Source organism: Homo sapiens, chromosome 8, assembly GCF_000001405.40.
Source record: "Homo sapiens chromosome 8, GRCh38.p14 Primary Assembly".
NCBI lineage: Eukaryota > Metazoa > Chordata > Mammalia > Primates > Hominidae > Homo > Homo sapiens.
The window spans coordinates 140495872-140519271 of NC_000008.11; the positions used below are offsets into that span (position 1 = coordinate 140495872).

The window sequence follows — 23400 nt, forward strand, 5'->3', positions numbered from 1 at the left end:
CCATGAGAGCAGTGACAGGGCCTTTCTTTTTTCTTTTTTCTTTTTTTTTTTGAGATGGAGTCTTGCTCTGTCGCCCAGGCTGGAATGCAGTGGTGCAACCTCGTCTCACTGCAACCTCTGCCTCCCAGGTTCAGGCAATTCTCCTGCCTCAGCCTCTCGAGTAGCTGGGACTATAGGGGCCCGCCACCACACCCGGCTAATTTTTTGTATTTTTAGTAGAGATGGGGTTTCACCATGTTAGCCAGGATGGTCTCGATCTCCTGACCTCATGATCCACCCGCCTCAGCCTCCCAAAGTGCTGGGATTACAGGCGTGAGCCACCGCGCCCGGCCAACAGGGCCTTTTCTTTTAAATCAACTTCATTATGACATAATTTCATAGAGTAAAAGGCATCCCTTTTAAGTGTACAATGTAATGAGTTTTGACAAGTGTATACACCCTTATAACCACTTTCACAATCAAAATAGAGACATTTCCACCCTGCCCCTTGGCAGTCAGCCCCATCCCCACCCTGGCAGGCAACCGGGGGTCTGTTTCCTGTCACTGTGAACGTGCTCAGCCTGATCTAGAATTTCATGTAACGCGGTCCTGCAGGAAGTGCGCTTCTGTCTGGCTTGCCTCGGCACAGTGCTTCTGAGTCATCCAGGCGACTGTGTGTACCCGTTGCTTCTCCCACTGTTGGTGTTCCATGCAGGGATGTGCCATGGTTTGTGAACAGTCTCTCTGCTCATGGGTGTTTGAGTTGTTTCCACCCATAGTTATCATGAATAAAGCTGAAATGAACATTCAGGGACAATCTTGTGTGGACATACCTGTTTGTTTCTTTGGGTAAATAACAGAAGTAAAGTTATTTACTTTATGTAAATAAAGTAATTTATGGGAGTAAGCTGGCTCCCATGGTAAGAGGATGTTTAGCTTTTTAAGAACTGTAACCTATTTTCCAAAGTGTTTGGAACATATAGCATTGCCACCAGCAGTGTGTGAGGGCAGCAGTTGGGGCCACACCTCACTCTCTAACATGGGGTACCACTGCATCATGAGTCTTGTAGAGCGTACATCCTGGCTCCTGGCCCAGTGCTGGCCACTGTGGGTGCCCATTCTATTTTTTTTTGAGACGGAGTCTCATTCTTGTTGCCCAGGCTGGAGTGCAATGGCGCCATCTCGGCTCACTGCAACATCCATCTCCCAGGTTCAAGTGATTCTCCTGCCTCAGCCTCCCGAATAGCTGGGATTACAGGCGCCTGCCACCACGCCTGGCTAATTTTTGTATTTTTAAGAGACAGGGTTTCACCATGTTGGCCAGGCTGGTCTCGAACTCCTGACCTCAGGTGATCCACCTGCCTCGGCCTCCCAAAGTGCTGAGATTACAGGTGTGAGCCACTGAGACCAGCCTTTTTGTTTTGTTTTGTTTTGTTTGTTTGTTTTTTAGAGACAGGGTCTTGCTCTGTCACCCAGGCTAGAGTTCAGGGGTGCAATCACAGCTCACTGCAGCCTCAGACTCCTGGCTCAAGTGATCCTCCCACCCTAGCCTCCCAAGTAGTTGGGATTATAGGTGCCCAGCACCATATCTGGCTAATTTTTTTTTCAGTGTTTTTTTTGTTTGTTTGTTTTTTATTATACTTTAAGTTTTAGGGTACATGTGCACAATGTGCCGGTTAGTTACGTATGTATACATGTGCCATGCTGGTGTGCTGCACCCATTAACTTGTCATTTAGCATTAGGTATATCTCCTAATGCTATCCCTCCTCCCTCCCCCAACCCCACAACAGTCCCCAGAGTGTGATGTTCCCCTTCCTGTGTCCATGTGTTCTCATTGTTCAATTCCCACCTATGAGTGAGAATATGCGGTGTTTGGTTTTTTTGTTCTTGCGACAGTTTACTGAGAATGATGATTTGCAATTTCATCCATGTCCCTACAAAGGACATGAACTCATCATTTTTTATGGCTGCATAGTATTCCATGGTGTATATGTGCCACATTTTCTTAATCCAGTCTATCATTGTTGGACATTTGGGTTGGTTCCAAGTCTTTGCTATTGTGAATAGTGCTGCAATAAACATATGTGTGCATGTGTCTTTATAGCAGCATGATTTATAGTCCTTTGGGTATATACCCAGTAATGGGATGGCTGGGTCAAATGGTATTTCTAGTTCTAGATCCCTGAGGAATCACCACACTGACTTCCACAATGGTTGAACTAGTTTACAGTCTCACCAACAGTGTAAAAGTGTTCCTATTCTCCACATCCTCTCCAGCACCTGATGTTTCCTGACTTTTTAATGATCGCCATTCTAACTGGTGTGAGATGGTATCTCATTGTGGTTTTGATTTGCATTTCTCTGATGGCCAGTGATGGTGAGCATTTTTTCATGTGTCTTTTGGCTGCATAAATGTCTTCTTTTGAGAAGTGTCTGTTCATGTCCTTTGCCCACTTTTTGATGGGGTTGTTTTTTTCTTGTAAATTTGTTTGAGTTCATTGTAGATTCTGGATATTAGCCCTTTGTCAGATGAGTAGATTGCGAAAATTTTCTCCCATTCTGTAGGTTGCCTGTTCACTCTGATGGTAGTTTCTTTGGCTGTGCAGAAGCTCTTTGGTTTAATTAGATCCCATTTGTCAATTTTGGCTTTTGTTGCCATTGCTTTTGGTGTTTTAGTCATGAAGTCCTTGCCCATGCCTATGTCCTGAATGGTAATGCCTAGGTTTTCTTCTAGGGTTTTTATGGTTTTAGGTCTAACGTTTAAGTCTTTAATCCATCTTGAATTGATTTTTGTATAAGGTATAAGGAAGGGATCCTGTTTCAGCTTTCTACATATGGCTAGCCAGTTTTCCCAGCACCATTTATTAAATAGGCAGTCCTTTCCGCATTGCTTGTTTTTCTCAGGTTTGTCAAAGATCAGATAGTTGTAGATATGCGGCATTATTTCTGAGGGCTCTGTTCTGTTCCATTGATCTATATCTCTGTTTTGGTACCAGTACCATGCTGTTTTGGTTACTGTAGCCTTGTAGTATAGTTTGAAGTCAGGTAGCGTGATGCCTCCAGCTTTGTTCTTTTGGCTTAGGATTGACTTGGCGATGCGGGCTCTTTTTTGGTTCCATATGAACTTTAAAGTAGTTTTCTCCAATTCTGTGAAGAAAGTCATTGGTAGCTTGATGGGGATGGCATTGAATCTATAAATTACCTTGGGCAGTATGGCCATTTTCACGATATTGATTCTTCCTACCCATGAGCATGGAATGTTCTTCCATTTGTTTGTATCCTCTTTTATTTCATTGAGCAGTGGTTTGTAGCTCTCCTTGAAGAGGTCCTTCACGTCCCTTGTAAGTTGGATTCCTAGGTATTTTATTCTCTTTGAAGCAATTGTGAATGGGAGTTCACACATGATTTGGCTCTCTGTTTGTCTGTTATTGGTGTATAAGAATGCTTGTGATTTTTGTACATTGATTTTGTATCCTGAGACTTTGCTGAAGTTGCTTATCAGCTTAAGGAGATTTTGGGCTGAGACAATGGGGTTTTCTAGATATACAATCATGTCTTCTGCAAACAGGGACAATTTGGCTTCCTCTTTTCCTAATTGAATACCCTTTATTTCCTTCTCCTGCCTAATTGCCCTGGCCAGAACTTCCAACACTATGTTGAATAGGAGTGGTGAGAGAGGGCATCCCTGTCTTGTGCCAGTTTTCAAAGGGAATGCTTCCAGTTTTTGCCCATTCAGTATGATATTGGCTGTGGGTTTGTCATAGATAGCTCTTATTATTTTGAGATACGTCCCATCAATACCTAATTTATTGAGAGTTTTTAGCATGAAGGGTTGTTGAATTTTGTCAAAGGCCTTTTCTGCATCTATTGAGATAATCATGTGGTTTTTGTCTTTGGTTCTGTTTATATTCTGGATTACATTTATTGATTTGCATATATTGAACCAGCCTTGCATCCCAGGGATGAAGCCCACTTGATCATAGTGGATAAGCTTTTGATGTGCTGCTGGATTCTGTTTGCCAGTATTTTATTGAGGATTTTTGCATCAATGTTCATCAAGGATATTGGTCTAAAGTTCTCTTGTTTGGTTGTGTCTCTGCCCGGCTTTGGTATCAGGATGATGCTGGCCACATCTGGCTAATTTTAAAAACTTTTTAGAGTTGAGGTCTCAACATGTTTCCCAGGCTGGTCTTGAACTTCTGGGCTTAAGTGATCCTCCTGCCTCAGACTCCCAAAGTGTTGGGATTATAGGTAGGTGCCACCATGTTCCTCCAGCTTTTGTTATTTTAAATACACCACTGGGTGTGGTGGCACACAAAAAAGAAGTGGCCTGAGGCCTGCTGGAGCAGGCAGGCAGTTAGGAAGGAGAAGAGGCATGAAGAAAGGGTGTTCAGAGTCCTAGTGTGGAGAGCGGGTGAGCTGGAAATGGGCTGTGTCTGGTGGATGGAGGTTTCCAGATCCCAAGGCTAATGAGAGTGCCAATATTTAGCAACTGATCACTGCACATGCCCAGTTGGTCCCACTGCCCACACAAAGTCAGGGGTCTCACTGCAGCAGCGAAACATTGGCCCAGGATCCGCAGTCACGGAGGAGGCGTGGCTCCTGGCTTCCTTTTGATTTTCACTTGATTTTCATGCTCAGATCAATGGTAAACAAAGCCAGTCTGGCCCCAAATGTGAAATAACCAGGTGGGTCTGGGTCCTTGGACCTCCCCTTCTCCGGCTATTCTCCTCGCTCAGTCACCCTACCAGGCTCATGGCCCTACAGGCCACCTATCTGGGGATGCTCACATTTCTATCCCAGCCTGCATGTCCCCCCTGAGCCTCCACTGACCTTCCCACCTGACTGTCTTATAGCCATCTTGGACTTCTGTGCCCTCAAATAACTCTTGATACCTCTGTCCCCAACTCTATTCCTTCTTGTCTTCCCCATCCCAGAAATAGGCAGCACCATTTGCTCTAACCCCAAACTAAGGCGTCATTCTTTTTTTGTTTTTGAGATGGAGTTTTGCTCTTGTCACCCAGGCTGAAGTGCAATGGTGCGATCTCAGCTCGCTGTAACCTCTACCTCCTGGGTTCGAGCGATTCTCCTGCCTCAGCCTCCCCAGAAGCTGGGATTACAGGCGCATGCCACCACGCCCCGCTAATTTGTGTGTGTGTGTGTGTGTCTGTGTATATATATATATATATATATTTTTTTTTTTTTTTAGTAGAGAAGGGGTTTCACCATGTTGACCAGGCTGGTCTCGAACTCCTGGCCTCTGATGATCCGCCTGCTTCAGCCTCCCACAGTGCTGAGATTACAGGCGTGAGCCACCACAGCCAGCATGATTACTACACCCTAAGTTAAAATAATATATCAGCCAACAGTGTTTTCTACAGAAATAGAAAAATCCATCCTAAAATTCAAGGGACCCCAAATAGCTAAAACTATCTTGAAAAAGAACAAAGCTGGAGGAATCACACTTCCTGATTTCAAAACTTACTATAGGCCACGCGTGGTGGCTCACGCCTGTAATCCCAGAACTCTGGGAGACCGAGGTGGGTGGATCTTTTGAGGCCAGGATGTCAAGACCAGCCTGGCCAACATGGCAAAACCCCGTCTCTACTAAAATTATAAAAATTAGCTGGGCGTGGTGGCACATGCCTGTAATCCCAGCTACTCGGGAGGCTGAGGCATAAGAATCACTTGAACCTGGGAGGCAGAGTTTGCAGTGAGCTGAGATCATGTCACTGTACTCCAGCCTGGGCTACTGAGTGAGACTCTGTCTCCAAACAAAACAAAACAAAACAAAACAAAACAAAACAAAACAAAACAAAACAAAACACCTGATTTGGGAGAAGTTCACATGCTGAAGGAATTATGGGATATCAATCAATTTTTACCAGCCAAAACCTGGGGAATGTATGGGAGTGGATTCTAATGTGTCAATCCAGAGCCTCTAGTTACCAACACAGCTGACTTGCAAGAGAGTCTAAATGCAGCGTGTTAGCTTCGACAGCTGGGATAGCTCCAACTGTTTGCTTAGCTTAGCTAGTGGAATGACGTCTGGATTTGAGTGTCCTGCACTGCTGGCTTTCCTTGACTTTTAGAGATAATAGCGACCACATTTGAGTATGCTGCTCCGACCCATTTGACAGATAACCCTGCAGATCCAGTGGTGCTCAGGTTGTCCGTGACAGGTCATGCTCCTGTAAGTTCTGGCAGGGACCAGTATAAGAGTCACAGCACAGGCTGGGTGCAGTGGCTCACTCCTGTAATCCCAGCACTTTGGGAGGCCAAGGTGCGGTGGATCACCTAAGGTCAGGAGTTGAAGACCAGCCTGGCCAGCATGGTGAAATTGAAATGTCTTTAAAGTCTTTACTAAAAAATACAAAAAATTAGCTGCGTGTGGTGGTGGGTGCCTATAATCCCAGCTACTCAGGAGGCTGGGGCAGGAGAACCACTTGAACCCAAGAGGCGGAGGTTGCAGTGAGCCGAGATCACGCCATTGCACTCCAGCCTGGGCAACAAGAGCAAGACTCTGTCTCAAAAAAAAAAATAAAAAATAAAAGTCACAGCACAGACTCCAAGGGGTTTAGAGCAAAGATATACCCTCCTCTGAAAATGACTATTCTCCATTTAAGCATTACACAGCTTCAGATTTGCTACCAGGCACTGGTAGAGAACAAATGCCAGACTCTGGCACCCCAAATGAGGGTGTCTTTTGAGCATTATTATTTTGAAGGTCAAGTAAAGTTTATTAGTGAGGGTTCTTCCAGAGAGACAGAATCAACAGGGAAGTGGGCTGGGTGCGGTGGCTCACACCTGTAATCCCAGCACTTTGGGAGGCCGAGGCAGGTGGATCACCTGAGGTCAGGAGTTTGAGACCAGCCTGACCAACATGGAGAAACCCCGTCTCTACTAAAAATACAAAATTAGCCGGGCGTGGTGGCGCACGCCTGTGATCCCAGCTATTCAGGAGGCTGAGGCAGGAGAATTGCTTGAACTCGGGAGGCGGAGGTTGTGGTGAGCCGAGATCGCGCCATTGCACTCCAGCCTGAGCAACAAGAACAAAACTCCATCTCAAAAAAAAAAAAAAAAAAAAAGCAAGCAAGAAAGCCAGAAGGGTTGGGTCTACTCCAGTTCACGGACAGTCACTAACACTTTGAAGGTTCAGAAACTTGGAAAGAACATGTTTGGAGACAGAAAGACAAGAAGGTCTGGAGAGGGGGTGTGGATGAACCTTTTGGATTGGGGAGAGATGAGTGGAGATTTGTATTCCATGTGAATGCTTATCAAAGGACACCTTCTACACAGGAGGCCTTTACTCGGCAAATGGCAGGATCCCCCATTCGTACATGTCCATTGGTCTCTTTTCCAGCAGCTCTAAGGTGCCGCATTAGTGCTTATTCCATCAAGCTTACATATACAGTGGCCATGGCCACATCTGGAGCTATGGGAGCCAAGTCTGGAACTGATGCAGTAAGGGTGTCTGCAAGGGCCTTAGAGATTTCAGTCTTTCTGCTTTGTCCTTCTTGGCATGCTGGTTTTAGGCTTCATGCTTACTGCCTCATGGTTGAAAAATGGCTGCTACTGCTCCAGACTTTGTGACTGCATTAGACAAGAACAAAGGGAAAGGGCAGTTTCCACATTTCTTCCTCAGCCCTCAAGGCTTTGTCTTTTTTTTTTTTTTTTTTTTTTGAGACAGTGTCTTGCTCTGTCGCCCAGGCTGGAGTGCAGTGGTATGATTTCAGCTCACTACAACCTCTACCTCCTGGGTTCAAGCAATTCTCCTTACAGGTGTGAGCCACTGCACCCAAACAGCTTTGTCTTTTTACTGAAGAAAAGATACTCTTTTTTTTTTTTTTTTTTTTGAGACTGAGTCTCACTGTATCGCCCAGGCTGGAGTGCCGTGGCATGATCTTGGTTCACTGCAACCTGTGCCTCTTGGGTTCAAGTGACTCTTGTGCCTCAGCCTCCCGAGTAGCTGAGATTACAGGTACCCACCAGCATGCCCGGCTAATTTTTGTATTTTTAGTAGAAATGGGGTTTCACCATGTTGCCAAGGCTGGTCTCAAACTCCTGACCTCAAGTGATCTGCCCGCCTCGGCCTCCCAAAGTACTGGGATTACAGGTGTGAGCCCCCACGCCTGGCCGAAAATATCTTTTTAGCAGTATTCCTCTTACATGTAATTTGTCAGAGTTGGGTCATTAGCTCACCCTGTGACCAACGACTGGCCAAAGGGCATGATATTACTAGGACTGGTTTATGCCAATTAAGATTTGTATCTTTTTTTTTTTTTTCTTTTGGGATATGGAGTCTCGCTCTGTCACCCAGGCTGGAGTGCAGTGGCGTGATCTCAGCTCACTGCAAGCTCCGCCTCCCGGGTTCACAACATTCTCCTGCCTCAGCCTCCCAAGTAGCTAAGACTACAGGCGCCTGCCACCACGCCCGGCTAATTTTTTTTTTGTATTTTTAGTAGAGACGGGGTTTCACCATGTTAGCCAGGATGGTCTCGATCTCCTGACCTCGTGATCCGCCTGCCTCGGCCTCCCAAAGTGCTGGGATTATAGGTGTGAGCCACTGCACCCGGCCTGTATACTTTTGATTTTATAAGGATGTTGGCTATCTGATCCCTACTGAAATGAATTGGGGTGCGGGGTGGCAGTGAGGTTTAAGGAAAGGAATGCCAAAGTTGCCAACATATAAAATATTGGAGATTTTACTTATAAATCGAAATTGAAGACTGGAACAGCACTCACTGATCCCACATTGCCTCATGGCAAAATTGGCTGCCCTCTTAGGTAAGCCAGAGTCGTCACGTTTGCTACAGACCCCTCCATTCTCTATCACTCGCCTGTCAGCTTCACCCATTTCCATTACTGCTTGGACCCTGACTTAGGATACTGCTTGAGTTTTGTTTTGTTTTTAGAGACAGGGTCTCATTCTGTCACCCAGGCTGGAGTGCAGTGGCACGATCATAGCTTACTGCAGCCTGTAGTCACATGCCACCAGGCCTGGCTAGTTTTTAAATTTTTTGTACAGAAGGGGCCTTACTATGTTGCCCAGGCTCATCTCAAACTCCTGGCCTCAAGCAGTCCTCAGACCTCATCCTCCCAAAGGCTTGGGATTACAGGCATGAGCCACCATGCCTGGTCTCAGAGTGATCTTTTTGAGCATATGTTTCCCCCACTGGATTAGCACAGTGTTTGGCACCTAAAATGTAAACAGGATTTTTTAAAAAGGAAGTTGCCTATTCTAGTAAACTTGGCTAACAGTGCATGAAAGGAGTGGGAGAGGCTTTGTGTAAAAAAGAACCACAGGCAAATCTTAATCTCTGCTACTTATTAATACTAGCTTCCTCAGTCTGATTGTTTCCTTATCTGTAAACTGAAGTCAATAGCATCTGCTCCACAGCATTGCTAAGAAGCTCCTATAAGCTCGGGCATGGAAACCCAGACAAAACGCCGAAGTTCCCTCCTTCTCCAAGAAGGAAGATTGGTTAAGTTGAAATGAATTTGGGTTGGAATTAGGAAGAAAGATTTTAAGAGCTGAGGCCACATCTTATTATGTTTGCACAGCTAGAAGTGCTTAATAAATATTTAATAATGATTATAATGATCATTTAGCTCAATAGAATATAATTATACAAATTGTGAAAATAAAATTATGCCAGGCTGTCATTACAGATAATGGCCTGAATACAGGGATAACAAGGGGCACACCAGAGCCCGTTGCTGTGATGGCTGCCAACAGGCAGGGAGCTCACAGAGCTGCTGAAGGGCTCCATGCGGGGGTTGGGGGGCCTGGCAGCTAGAGAAAGGGGTAGGAGGAAGCAATCTGGGCCAAGGGGAGAGGCTGGTGGGAGCCGCATTGTGCAGAGCCTTGTGGTCCAGCATGGTGGACCCATCCCACAGGATGATGGAGTGGGAAGTCATTGGAGAGTTTTCAACAGGAGAACGGCAAGAGTTGATATATGATTTTAAAATGTTTTTATCATGGTAAAATATAAACATTACGATTAACATATACATTAACATATATATTAACATTATTGTTAATGAATGTTAATTTTATTATTTTGAGACAGGGTCTTGCTCTGTCACCCACACTGGGGTGCAGTGGCACAATCACAGCTCACTGCAGCCTCTACATGTTGTACTCAAGCAATCCTCCCACCTCAGCCTTCAAAGTAGCTAGGACCACAAATATACACCACCACACTGGGCTTTTTGTTTGTTTAAGACAGAGTCTTGCTTTGTTGCCCAGGCTGGAGTGTAGTGGCACAATCTCAGGTCACTGCAACCTCTGTCTCCTGGGTTCAAGCAATTCTCCTGCCTCAGCCTCCTCAGTAGCTGGTATTACAGGCGCCCACTACCATGCCCGGCTAATTTTTTAATGTTTTTAGTAGAGACGGGGTTTCACCATGTTGACCAGGCTGGTCTTGAACTCCTGACCTCAGGTGATCCACCCGCCTCGGCCTTCCAAAGTGCTGGGATTAAAGGCGTGAGCCACCGCGTCCGGCCCTTTTTTTTTTTTTTGAGATGGAGTCTCGCTCTGTCACCCAGGCTGGAGTGCAGTGGTGCAATCTCGGCTCAATGCCACCTAAACCTCCCGGGTTCAAGTGATTCTCCTGCTTCAGCCTCCCGAGTAGCTGGGATTACAGGCGTATGCCACCATACCTGGCTTTTTTTGTATTTTTAGTAGAGATGGGATTTCACCATCATGGCCAGTCTGCTCTCGAACCCCTGACCTCAAATTATCCACCTGCCTCGGCCTCTCAAAGTGCCAGAATTACAAGCGTGTGTCACCACGATTGGCCCTAAAGCAAAAAATTTTTTTTGAGATGGAGTATCCCTCTGTTGCCCAGGCTGGAGTGCAATAGCGTGATCTCGGCTCATCTCAACCTCTGCCTCCTGGATTCAAGCGATTCTCCTGCCTCAGCCTCCCAAATAGCTGGGATTACAGGCTTGTGCCACCACGCCCAGCTAATTTTTATATTTTTAGTAGAGACGGGGTTTCACCATATTGGCTAGGCCGATCTCAAATTCCTGCTCTCATGATCTGCCCACCTTGGCCTCCCAACGTGCTGGGATTATAGGTGTGAGCCACCGCGCCCTGCCTAAAGCAAAATTTTTAAAGGAAAGACTGAGGCTACATCTCTGCTATCTGCCAACCAGATACAGGGATTATGCAAATTTCTTCAAGGAACACAAATCAAGTGGAGGGAGTAGCTGGGATTACATGTTGGCCAGGCTGGTCTCAAACTCCTGACCTCAAGTGATCCGCCTGCCTCAGACTCCCAAAGTGTTGGGATTACAGGCGTGAGCCACGGCGCATGGTCAAGAATTGTTTTCAAGGACATTGTTAGAGCTGGAGGCGCATGACTGAGAAGGAGGCACGTCACTGAGAAGGGCGAGGTGCTATGGAGCAAAAGGGAGGAGACGCTACCTCGAGATCAGGAAGCTGGGACTGCCCCTGGCCTGGAGCCCAGGAGCCCACACTCGCCCCCGAAGGACTCCAGGGCTGCCACTGTTGAGCAGAAACTTAGAGTGAAGCCGCTCAAAGCTCCACATGTGCAGGTGGTGATCCCTATAACCCCACTGCAGTCCTCTACCCTGCAGCCAGCAGGCAGATAAAGCTTCTTCCTCCCACCCCACAGCGATCTTTCACAGGGGCCTCCAATTTGCAGAACCTACCCAGAAGCCAGCTGACAGGGCATTCTGGGAAGTGCAGAAAACTGCCTTGCACCACCCTGGGATACCCATGAGAATGGTGCAAGGTACTGTCGTGAAGACAAAGTGAGCCCCTAAAAAACAGAGCTAACGACAGGATGAGACTAACTCACTGAGCTTTTTCCAGAGCCAGGAAGTTCTCAAGGACAACAGTCTTGAATTCTGCCGTCTTAGGTTTAAAGCTTCTTTTTTTTACATTTTTTTTCTCTTTGTAGAGATGTGGGTCTTGTTATATTGCCCAGGCTGGTCTCAAACTCCTGGCTTCACGTATTTCTCCTGCCTCAGCCTCCAAGTGATGGGATTACAGCTGTGAACCACACTGGATTTTTTTTTTTTTTTTTTTTAATGGTGAGCACTTCTTTTCCAGTATGAAGATTTCCTGCTTGGCTTCTCTCTCTACTTCTCAAATGATTAATGACTGCAAACATCACCTGCCAATTCTACAAGCTGAGCTTCTCATCCCTATTCTCTCTCCTTTCCCTCCCTCCCTTCCTTCTTTCCTTCCTTCCTCTTCTGTGCTCTTCCCTAATGTTAACCCATCCTGTTCTCACACATACTCAAAAGAGAAAGACAAGCCATACAAAAATAATAGCCAGCTAGGGAAACAAAACATCTAACAGCTTCAAAATATGTCATCACTATGGCTTGTTTCCTGTGTGGACCAAAGGACCCTCTTGTGTAGCTGCTCTTGTGTAGCAGTTCCCTGCCCCTCTTTTGTGAATGTCAACGGCTTTCCCATTTACAGAGGCAAGGCCGAGAGGGAGAGGGAGTCTGCAGCTCCACCTCCAGCCTGTGCAAACTGCCAGGAGTCGGCTCTGCATAAGGCACAGTGCCATTTGGTCATCACTCAAGAACCAGTGTGAGCTTTTAAAGTGGATCTGCTCCCTTCAAAACTTTTTTTTTTTGAGAGTCTTGCTCTGTTGCCCAGGCTGGAGTGCAGTGGTGTGATCTGTGCTCACTGCAACCTCCACCTTCTGAGTTCAAGTGATTCTCCTGCCTCAGCCGCCAATGCAGCTGAGATTACAGGTGCTTACCACCATGCCCAGCCAATTTTTCTATTTTTAGTAGAGAGGGGGTTTTGCCATGTTAGCCAGGCTGGTCTGGATTTGTTTGTTTTTGAGATGGAGTTTCTCTCTTGTTGCCCAGGCTGGAGTGCAAGTGGCGTGATCTTGGCTCACTGCAACCTCCGCCTCCCGGGTTCAAGCGATTCTCCTGCCTCAGCCTCCTAAGTAGCTGGGATTACAGGCGCGTGCCACCATGCCCGGCTAATTTTTTGTATTTTTAGTAGAGACGGGGTTTCGCCATGTTGGTCAGGCTGGTCTCGAACTCCTGACCTCAGGAGATCTGCCCCCCCTCGGCCTCCCAAAGTGCTGGGATTACAGGTGTGAGCCACCGCGCCCGGCCAAAAATAAAATTTTTGTAGAGATGCTGCCCTGTTATGCTGCCCGGGCTAATCTCAAACTCCTGGGCTCAAGCGATCTGCCTGCTTCAGCCTCCCAAAGTGCTGGGATTACAGGCATGCACCACCTCGAGTTCAAAATTCTTCATTATTTTCCATTACTCTTGGAATGAAAGTCAAACTTTTTACCCAGGGCCAGAGCCGGTCCCACCTACCTTGGTAACCACACCTCCCGTGCTCTCTGCCTCCCTCACTAAGCTCCAGACACACTGGCTTTTCAGTTCCTCAAACTGCCCAGGCATTTTCCTCGTCAGGTGTTCTCCCTAGAGCCTGACTTGTCCCGAAAGCTCATCTTGTCTCAGTCTTTCTGTATGAGTGGCTCCTTTTCTTTCTTCAGATCTGGGCACAAATGTCACTTCCCAGAGGGGCTGCCCTATCACTCGCACATGGTTTTGTTTCCTTCGTAGCTTTCAGCATTGGAGGTGTATTTTTTTTTTTTTTTTTTTTTTGAGATGGAGTCTCCCTCTGTCGCCCAGGCTGCTGGAGTGCAGTGGCGCGATCCCGGATCACTGTAACCTCTGCCTCCTGGGTTCCAGCGATTCTCCTGCCTCAGCCTCCCGAGTAGCTGGCATTACAGGTGCCCACCACCACGCCCAGCTAATTTTAATAATTTCAGTAGAGATGGGGTTTGACTATATTGGTTGGGCTGGTCTCGAACTCTTGACCTCAGGTGATCCACCCACCTTGGCCTCCCAAAGTGCTGGGATTACAGGCGTGAGCCAAAGCGCCCGGCTGGAGGTATTCTTACTTATTTTTCAGTCTCCCTCAGACCTGAAGGTCAGCTCTAAGAGGGCAGGGACCATGGCAGCCCTGCTCACTGGCTGTACCCTTGTGCCTAGCAATGCCTGACATGTATTTCTGTGCTCAATTATTTGCGCCAGGACCTCACGTCACAGTGGTGAAGAAGACACTACACTTAACACGCTCCAATTCAAACCTCTGCCAAAATGTGCTCCCTGTCTCAGTAAAGGGCTCTTTACCAAGGCCTTTCTGATATCTCAGTAAGCTGTGCTGATACTCCACAGCAGCTCCCTCTTGAAATCAGACCCCAAACCCTACCACTTCCCATGATCCTGGCAGAAGTTAAGTTGGTGGCCAGGCGCGGTGGCTTACGCCTGTAATCGCAGCACTCTGGTAGGCCGAGGCGGGCGGATCACGAGGTCAGGAGATCGAGACCATCCTGGCCAACATGGTGAAAACCCGTCTCTACTAAAAATACAAAAAATTAGCTGGGTGGCGCGTGCCTATAATCCCAGCTACTCAGGAGGCTGAGGCAGGAGAATTGCTTGAATCGGGGTGTTGGAGGTTGCAGTGAGCCGAGATCGCACTGCACTCCAGCCTGGCGACAGAGCGAGACTCTGTGTCAAAAAAAAAAAAAAAAAAAAAAGTTAAGTTGGACCCCTTACTCTTCCAAGGGCCTCCCCACTCATTCAGAGCGAATTCTGCGGTCTCCGCGGCCTTCCCTGGTCTGGCCCCTGACCATCTCCTGCCTCTCTCCTCCCAGCTGCTGTCCCCTTGGTACTGCCGGCCTCCTGAGGGCCACGTTCCTGGGTTCTCGTAATCATCTTCTACCTGGTCTCTGTGATTCCGGCCTTACGCGCACCCACGCCCTCCCAGCCGGCAGCTGCAGGGATCCTTTTAAAACTGCCCGGGACTCCACTGCTCAAACCCTACCACCACTTCCCATTTTCCTTAGAAAAAAAAATCCAACAGGACCTAGCCCCGGGCTGCCTGTCAGACCTCGGCGAGCACGCCAGGCTCTGCACACCGTCTCTCGGAGCAGTCCCGAAGAGGCCGTTCCCACCAGACTCCGGGACCTCCTCAGGGCAGCTCTTCGTCCTCCACCCCGCAGGAAGGCTCTTCTCCCAATCACCCCGCGGCGCAGCAAGCCTGGCCCCGCCGCATCGCCCGCGCTGGACTCTGCTCTTCCACCGGTCGCCTGGCTACCGGCGCAGGACGCATCCGCTGTCCGCTTGGTCGTCCCCCCTGGACTTTGTGCTTCAAGAAAGCGTCACTTTTTGCCGACGGCGGCACGCCCGGTCCTAGTACAGCGCAGGCGCTTAACACACAGCACCCAGCCACGAGGCCCGGAGTCAGAGGGCTTTGCTTGCCCATTCACAGAGCCCTCACCCGCGGATCAAAGTCGTATTCCGCGACCGCAGCCCGGAGACTCCCGGGAGCGGCGCGGTGCGCCCCGCCCCCGCCAGGCTCTCGGCTGCCGGTTCCGCGCCGGGCCTCGCACTCGGGGGCGGTGTCCGAGCGTCGGCGCATGCGCAGATCGGGGGCGCGAGGCCTCACGGAGCTCGTAGTTTCCCGGACGGGCCGCTCCCGGCCTCGCGGCCTCGCCTCCCCACACTACAACTCCCACGGGGCAGCGGGCGCGGCTCCCCGTACCCACCAGCTGGCCGGGCAGGGCAGCCACTTCGCGGTCGGGCCCGCCGGCTGCGGGCACCCGCGCGACGGGCGGGAAGATGGCGGACGTGGTCGTGGGTAAAGACAAGGGCGGGGAGCAGCGGCTCATCTCGCTGCCTCTATCCCGCATCCGGGTCATCATGAAGAGCTCCCCCGAGGTGTCCAGCATCAACCAGGAGGCGTTGGTGCTCACGGCCAAGGCCACGGTGAGGGGGCAGGGCGGGGGTGTGGGCCGCCCTTACCCCTCGCGCCCCGCCCCGCCGGGCTCTGGGCACTGCCCAGTCCCCTTAGGCCCGCGCGCCGCCGGCTGCTCTTGCCGGGCTCGCGCGCGCCCCGCTGTCCCCGTCCCACGCCGGCGCGCGCTTCGGTGCCCGCGCGCCCCCACACTTTCTCGCGCGTCTTCGCCCCGCCCACCCCTCGCCGCTCCCTCACGTTCTCCAGTTTCTTCGCCTCGCCTACCGCGCGCCTCTCCCGCCCTTTGTCGCCTTCCTTCGCTCCGCCCGCCCCTTCCTTCCGTGCGCACCTTCGCCCCGCCCACCCCACTGTCCTCCCGCCGTTTCTCTCGCGCTTCCATTCGGCAAACCCGTAAGCTCCCGCGTTCCTCTGCGCGCCTTTCGTCCCTCCCACCTGTGCGCTCACGTCCTCCCTCGCGTGCGGCGCTCAGTTTCCGGCCCTACCCGTGGGCGTCGGCGCCTAGTGGCGCTCTTCTCATTTGGGTTCTTTGGGGGCTCTTTCACCCGCGACTCCCTACTCCCGGCCTGCCTTTTTCTTGTCACTGGACTGCTTCGTGCTTTGAGGGCCCTAACTCCTCCAGTGTCCCGTGGGAGGGGCAGCCGGGCGCTTCACCCGCGACTCGAGGCTCTTTTCCCGCGCGTGCGGTGCCAGCTCCAGCGGTCCGAGGCTTTCGAGCCCTCCCGCCCGCCACAGCTGGGGCCCCTCGTCTAAGAGGCAGCACATTCCCCAACCAGAATTTAAGGAAGTCCGGGGAACTTAAGTTTTACAGCCTGCTTAGCATCCTCCTGGGTGCAAAATAGATAATTTTGTCTTTTTTTAAAAAAATTGCGTCTCGATAGTGTTAGGCCAGATGTTTTCCTGTTCTGACACTGGGCCATGTTTCAGCTACACAGTTAAATGCTTTAGCTTGTCTTGGATTCTATTTTCCAGTCCCTACTTGTAGTTAAGTATATGATGTCCCTGCAGTGTTGGACTAGAACTAAGGGAAGTGGGAAATTACAGGTTTCTTGCCCGCTTTATGTCAGAGCCATGTTTTCCTAGAGCCCAGGGAAATAATTGCATATTCAGCATTTCATCTGGGGACATTTGTATTTTCCTATACAATTTCATTCTATTGGTATTAAGGAATGAGGATTTATGCAGGCACTTCTGACCCGTTATTTTATTTTTTGAGATGGAGTTTCCCAGGCTGGAGTGCGGTGGCACTGTCTTGCTCACTGCAACCTCTGCCTCGCGGGTTCAGATGATTCTCCTGCCTCAGCCTCCTGAGTAGCTGGGATTACAGGTGCCTGCCATCACACTCGGCTAATTTTTGTATTTTTTGGTAGAGACAGGGTTTCACCATGTTGCCCAAGTTGGTCTTGAACTCCTGACCTCAGGTGATCCGTCTGCCTCAGCCTCCCAAAGTGCTGGGATTACAGGCGTGAACCATCACGCCCGTCTTTCTCATCCCTTATTAACTGAACTAGATGCATTAAAGTCAAAACCTTGAGAAAGAGGCTCAGTTCAGCCTCTGTAAAAATGAAGACTTGGCCCTGCTATAAGAACTGGGATGCAGGAGGGAGAAGATCAGTTCCGGTTGTTTCATTAGGTCTGAGGGTTGTATGTCAGTTCCTAGAATAGAAAAGTTTTGGCAAAATGTAAGCTGTGGTCACTATAGTTGTAGGTGAACCACCTTAGAAACAGTGTATGCAAATAGAAGACTAAAAAGGTATTCCTGAGCCAAATAGAATTTTTGAATGGCTTTTTGCTACTTTCTATTTTTTTTTCTTTTTTTTTGAGACGGAGTCTCGCTCTGTCGCCCAGGCTGGAGTGCAGTGGCGCGATCTCGGCTCACTGCAAGCTCCGCCTCCCGGGCTTACGCCATTCTCCTGCCTCAGCCTCCCGAGTAGCTGGGACTACAGCCGCCACCATGCCCGGCTAATTTTGTTTTTTTTTTTTATTTTATTTTTAGTAGAGACGGGGTTTCACCGTGTTAGCCAGGATGGTCTCGATCTCCTGACCATCCTTGGTCCGCCGTCCTTGGCCTCCCAAAGTGCTGGGATTACAGGCCTGAGCCACAGCTCCCGGCCGCTTCTTTCTTTTACTCTAGAGGTTGGTCATTAAACAGTTACGATTCATCTTTTTCGTAAGTTAGACATCTAAAATAAGCCTCTGGAAAATGCCTGCTTCTCCGCCAATTTTGATACTGGCTTTGCTTTCTTTCTGACCTCATGTTTTTCTTTTCCCCAGTGATTTCTTTTTTTTTTTTTTTTTTTTTTTTTGAGACGGAGTCTTGCTTGATCACCCAGGCCAGAGTGCTGCAATCTCCAACCTCCACCTCCCAGGTTCAGGCGATTCGCCTGCCTCAGCCTCCCGCTGGCTGGGATTACAGGCACCCGCCACCATGCCCAGCTAATTTTTGTATTTTTAATAGAGATGGGGTTTCACTATGTTGGCCAGTCTGGTCTCAAACTCCTGACCTCAAGTGAGCCGCCTGCCTCAGCCTCCCAAAGTGTTAGTATTACCAGCGTGAGCCACCACGCCTGGCCTCCCCAGTGATTTCTTGTAATTTAATTTGAGAAACCAAGAGAATCTGAAGTCTTAATATACTTTTAAGCCTAATTAAGGAATCAACAATGTAATTTTAAAAATTAATTTCTGTGGTACATTTTCAAAGCACACCTTTCATTTGCATTTTTCATTTTGTTCTAGGAGCTCTTTGTTCAATGCCTAGCCACCTATTCCTACAGACACGGCAGTGGAAAGGAAAAGAAAGTACTGACTTACAGTGATTTAGCAAACACTGCACAGCAATCAGAAACTTTTCAGTTTCTTGCAGGTACTTAGTCTTTGAAACATTCTGGTTAAAAAATGATTAGTAATCAATAGCTCTTTCCCCACCCCTTGCCTCCCTTCTGCTCTCACGGAAAATTAGACTTTTTGCTACTTTTTCCAAGCCGCAAAGTACTATGAGTTGTCACAGGAAGATACTTTTAGTCTTCTCTGTTTGAATGTGTTTGTCATGTGGTCCACCTAGAACAATAGTGAAGCCAACAACATTCACAAGATGTTGGTTGGCCGCGTATGCTGGGCAGTCCTTTACTCTCTACAGGGACCCTGCCTGCCACTGAAGGGAAAACTCAGGGTGGGTCTACATGGCCGTAGTTAGAGCTTAAGTCTACCCTGGGGCTAGCCTAGGCTATCTCAGGTAGTCGGGCAGGGTTGCTCATAAAAGCAGCTCATAGAGACACCATGGTTTGTACTCATTGGACTGGAAAGAGGCCTATAGCGTTCGTTAGGAGACAATGCTAGTTTCTTTGATATTTTACCCAGAAATGCAGCCTGAATTTCATCTTGTTTTGGAACCTCTTATAGAGGTCAAAGCAGGAACTAGTACATTTTGAAATGTGCATTGCTGTGTTCATAGTCTACCATAACCAATTGCTGATGTACGCTTTATGTTTTTAAGATATATTACCAAAGAAGATTTTAGCTAGTAAATACCTGAAAATGCTTAAAGAGGAAAAGAGGGAAGAAGATGAGGAGAATGACAATGATAATGAAAGTGACCATGATGAAGCTGACTCCTAAACCAAAAGTGCTTTAAAAACCAGCCTGGCGAGGACAGCCCTGGACCCACTCCACTGTCTCTAAGTAAACACAGCACTGCCCGCTTTTAGCGTCTTCACTTCTTCACAGAGTTCCAGTGTGTGGTATTCTTTCGAGGTATTCTTTCCAGGCCGAGATTGAGCACCTCATGTACCTACGCCACAGACAGCCAGAGGGAAAGCGACCCAGACAGCAGCCCCTCCTCGACAGGCCCACCCTGCAGCTCAGGCACCAAGAAAACAGCCGATACTGGCAGCCATTGCAGCTCCAAACTGCAGAGGCAAGGCCAATTTTAACTTTTCAATTTACAGTCGATTTTGAAGAGCTTCTACATATCGGTTATGTAAATTCATATATGTATATTTTGGAATCAGTTCTTATAAACAGCTCGATTCAGTTTTAGCTAAATTTATAGTTTAGGTAGTATGTTACATTTGAATTTTTGTCTTAAGAAAAGTTGACTGTTCAGATATTTTTCTACTGTAAAGAAATATACTTTTCTATTAAAGATCTGTACATATTTTTACAGTAAAATGCTTTATGGAACTAGTTTTAGAGCCCTCTATGGCTTTAAGGCCTTGCTTACTGCCTGCAAATTTTGAGAAATTTAAAAATAAGCATTCTAACACTTTTATTCCCACAGAAAAATTCCAAGTCAAATTATCAAATCAAATACAAAAATAAGTCTTACCTCTTGTATAAGCATGTTGTACTAAAAAAAAATTTTGAAACATTTTGTATATTGGAGATCTCTCTCATCTTACTGTTCTTTGCTTTAAATTCCTGGCACTTCTTTTTACTGTCTATAAGAGAAAACCTATCATAAGCCCAATTTTTTTTTTCCACTTAGGGTAAATGTTTGGCTCCTCTCATTTCATTATCTTTTTTTTTTTTTTTTTAAAGACAGATTCTCACTCAGTTGCCCAGGCTGGATTGCGGTGGCGCTGTCTCAGCTCACTGCAACCTCCGCCTCCCAGGTTCAAGTGATTCTCCTGCCTCATCCTCCTGAGTAGCTGGGATTACAGGCGTGTGCCACCATGCCCAACCTATTTTTGTATTTTTTAGTAGAGACGGGGTTCACCATGTTGGCCAGGCTTGTCTCAAACTCCTAACCTCAACTGATCCACCTGCCTCAGCCTCCCAAAGTGCCGCCGGGATTACAGGCGTGAGCCACCATGCCTGGCCTTCATTATCTCTTTTTTAAAAATGAAAAAGTTTATAATTTACATTCAGTAAAATCACCCTTTTTAGTGTCTAGTCTGTGAATTTTGACAAATGCATGGTTTTGTAACCAATCGATAGGACAGTTCTGCCACCCAGGACATTCCCCTCTGTTCCTCTGTTCCTCTCTTCTCCTGCCCCCTAGCAACCACTGGTGTTTTCTGTCCCTCTTGTTCATTGACATTTATTTTAAAATAAAATATTTTAAAATCTACTTTTTGGTGTACAGTTCTGAGTTTTGGCAAATGCAGTCAAGTCACTACCACCACCACAATTAACAGCTATATCACCCTCCAGTAAATTCCCTGTGGTCAGCTCCTTCCCCACCTTTTACCGTGGCAACCGTCAAGCTATTCTCTGTCCCTATACCAGGTGTCATCAAATTTTTTTCTGGAAAGGGCCATGCAGTAAATAGTTCAAGCTTTGTGGGCTTTTATAGTCTCTGTTGCTGCTGCTGAACTCAGCTGTTGTAGCACGAAAGCAGCCAGGTAATTACTAGATGAAGGAATGCAGGTGGCTGTGTTTCAATAGAGCTTTATTTCTGCAAACTGAAACTTGAGTTTTGTGTAATTTTCATGTGTCATGAAATACTGTTTTCTCCAACCATTTAATAATGTAAATACTTGCTAGCTTATGTGCCATTAAAAAATGACTTGATTTGGCTTACAGACCAGTTTGGTGGCCTGTCTTTTCCAGAATGTCATATAAATGGAATCATTCAGTATGTAGCATTTGAGTCTGCAGTTGTTCTGTTTAGCAGAATGCATTTGAGATTCATCCGTGTTGTCACAGGTATCAGCAGTCCATTCCTTTATATTGCTGAGTAGGATTCCATTGTATGGATGTATCTGTTTATCCATTTTCCAGGTATATGGATAATTACCCATTTAGATTGTTTCTAGTTTTGATGATTGTAATTTTTTTTTTTTTTTTTTTTGACAGGGTCTCACTCTGTCACCCAGGCTGGAGTGCAGTGGCATGATCATGGCTTACTGCAACTTCCGCCTCCTGGGTTCAAGCGATTCTTGGGTCTCAGCCTCCTGAGTAGCTGGGATTACGGGCACGGCGTCACCACACTTGGCTCATTTTTTTGTACTTTTAGTAGAGATGGGGTTTCACCATGTTGGCCAGGCTGGTCTCGAACTCCCGACATCAAATGATCCGCCCACCTCGGCCTCCCAGTGATGGGATTATAGGCATAAGCCACCACACCTGGCCTTGATGACTATAATTAATAAAGCCCTATAAGTATTTGTGTACAGGGTTTTTGTTTGTGTTTTTTGAGATGGAGTCTCGCAAACTCTGCTGCCCAGGGCGGTGTGCAGTGGCGCAGTCTTGGCTCACTGCAACTTCTCCTATCTAGGTTCAAGCCATCCTCCTGCCTCAGCCTCCTGAGTAGCTAGGATTACAGGCGCCCACCACCACACCTGGCAAATTTTTGTATTTTTAGTGGAGATGGATTTTTGCCATGTTGGCCAGGCTGGTTTCGAACTCCTGAGCTCAACCAAGTGACCCGCCCACCTCAGCCTCCCAAAGCGCTGGGATTACAGGTGTGAGCCACTGTGCATGGCCTGTGTACAGGTTTTGTGTGAACACGGGATTTCATTTTACTTGGGTATATGCTTATGAGTGGAATGCGATACAGACGTTTATAAGAAGAAACTGCCAAACTGTTTTCCAAAGTGGCTGTGCCATTTTGCAGTCCCACCAGTAGTGAGTTCCAGTGGCTCTGCAGCTCCTACAAAAATTCATGTCAGTTTTTGTTGAGTTTTGAGAGATTTATATATTCTTAATACAAGTTATTTGCCTGATAGGAGATTTGCAAACATTTTCTCCCAGTCACTTTTCATTCTCTTAATAGCATCTTTTTTTTTTTTTTTCGAGACTGAGTCTTGCTCTGTCACCCAGGCTGGAGTGCAATGGCACGATCTCGGCTCACTGCAACCTCCACCTCCCAGGTTCAAGTGATTCTCCTGCCTCAGCCTCTCGAGTAGCTGGGATTACAGGTGTGTGCCACCATGCCCGGCTAATTTTTGTATTCTTAGTAGAGATGGGGTTTTACCTTGCTGGCCAGGCTCGTCTTGAACTCCTGACCTCAAGTGATCCACCCACCTCGGCCTCTGAAAGTGCTGGGATTACAGGCATGAATCACTGCACCCAGCCTGAAGCATTCTTAAGGCACCATAAGTGTTTGAGATCCGATCATTCAGGGAACACTCACCCTTTCAGTTCCTCCTTGAACCGGGTGCCAGGTTGTTACAGTAGCTTCCTAAGTGGTTTCCTCACAGTGCCTACAGCCTTTCCTCTTTCCACCTTGCATACTGCTGTCAGATTATCAAAATGATTTTATGAAGATGAATCTTTTGCTCTCGCTTGCAAGTGTTAAACCATTACTGCTTCTGGCCATTCAGTAAATGATGGTGAAATAGCGAGAATATAACAAAGGCCATATCAAGTGAGTATATTGCTGTAGATGAGTTTCTGTGTATTCTTCCGGTTTTGACTACCATGTCCCAGGGCCAGTGGGCACAGAGGTGCTTTGTATACTAAGAAGTAGTAAAGGGTTCTAGATACATTAAGAAAAAAGTAAATCTTGATTTTTGTTTAAAAAAATAAGACTGCGGAACAAGATAGATCAGAATGTTAAGGTTAATTACCTATGTGTCGTGACTAGAGATAGCTCTTTATCTGAATTTTCACATTTTTCTGTAACATTGTTCTTAAAATTTGGAAACCTGAAATAAGGACAAAATCTTGGCCTGCCTCAGCAGTGATGTACAGCCTA

General features: G+C 47.5%; 1 protein-coding gene across 3 annotated transcripts, besides 6 other annotated features; it reads left to right on the plus strand.

Moving 5' to 3' along the window:
* Nucleotides 7325–7525: a silencer, noted in NCBI's record as "peak7190 fragment used in MPRA reporter construct". NCBI's record gives its function as "represses an SCP1 promoter by STARR-seq MPRAs in K562 erythroleukemia cells {active_cell/tissue: K562}" and the evidence as "EXISTENCE:reporter gene assay evidence [ECO:0000049][PMID:32103011]".
* Nucleotides 12796–12976: a silencer, noted in NCBI's record as "fragment chr8:141518766-141518946 (GRCh37/hg19 assembly coordinates)". NCBI's record gives its function as "represses an EF-1alpha promoter that drives an FKBP-Casp9 reporter gene in an ReSE screen in HepG2 liver carcinoma cells {active_cell/tissue: HepG2}" and the evidence as "EXISTENCE:reporter gene assay evidence [ECO:0000049][PMID:32094911]".
* Nucleotides 14844–14923: an enhancer, noted in NCBI's record as "active region_28027". NCBI's record gives its function as "activates an Ori minimal core promoter by ATAC-STARR-seq in GM12878 lymphoblastoid cells {active_cell/tissue: GM12878}" and the evidence as "EXISTENCE:reporter gene assay evidence [ECO:0000049][PMID:35858748]".
* Nucleotides 14934–15143: an enhancer, noted in NCBI's record as "active region_28028". NCBI's record gives its function as "activates an Ori minimal core promoter by ATAC-STARR-seq in GM12878 lymphoblastoid cells {active_cell/tissue: GM12878}" and the evidence as "EXISTENCE:reporter gene assay evidence [ECO:0000049][PMID:35858748]".
* Nucleotides 15154–16163: a silencer, noted in NCBI's record as "silent region_19580". NCBI's record gives its function as "represses an Ori minimal core promoter by ATAC-STARR-seq in GM12878 lymphoblastoid cells {active_cell/tissue: GM12878}" and the evidence as "EXISTENCE:reporter gene assay evidence [ECO:0000049][PMID:35858748]".
* CHRAC1 (chromatin accessibility complex subunit 1) lies at nt 15451–21283 on the plus strand. Of its 3 annotated transcripts, none has more exons than NM_017444.6 (3): nt 15451–15775; nt 18498–18624; nt 19255–21283. In NM_017444.6, exons 1-3 carry the CDS (start codon nt 15629–15631, stop codon nt 19374–19376), a joined length of 396 nt encoding a protein of 131 aa, NP_059140.1. In that variant the 5' UTR covers nt 15451–15628; the 3' UTR covers nt 19377–21283. The 3 variants fall into 3 exon arrangements, 1 of the variants encoding a protein (NP_059140.1); NR_040712.2 differs by lacking the exon at nt 15451–15775 and adding an exon at nt 16125–16154; NR_023360.3 differs by lacking the exon at nt 18498–18624.
* Nucleotides 16204–16513: an enhancer, noted in NCBI's record as "active region_28029". NCBI's record gives its function as "activates an Ori minimal core promoter by ATAC-STARR-seq in GM12878 lymphoblastoid cells {active_cell/tissue: GM12878}" and the evidence as "EXISTENCE:reporter gene assay evidence [ECO:0000049][PMID:35858748]".
* Nucleotides 21284–23400: the final 2117 nt, after the last annotated feature.

Excerpts from the sequence above, each read along its gene's own strand:
- CHRAC1 (NM_017444.6), top strand. The coding sequence starts at position 15,629 with ATGGCGGACGTGGTCGTGGGTAAAGACAAGGGCGGGGAGCAGCGGCTC. Across the intron at positions 15,776-18,497 it reads TGCTCACGGCCAAGGCCACG|GAGCTCTTTGTTCAATGCCT; the intron begins GTGAGGGGGCAG and ends ATTTTGTTCTAG. Across the intron at positions 18,625-19,254 it reads AACTTTTCAGTTTCTTGCAG|ATATATTACCAAAGAAGATT; the intron begins GTACTTAGTCTT and ends TATGTTTTTAAG.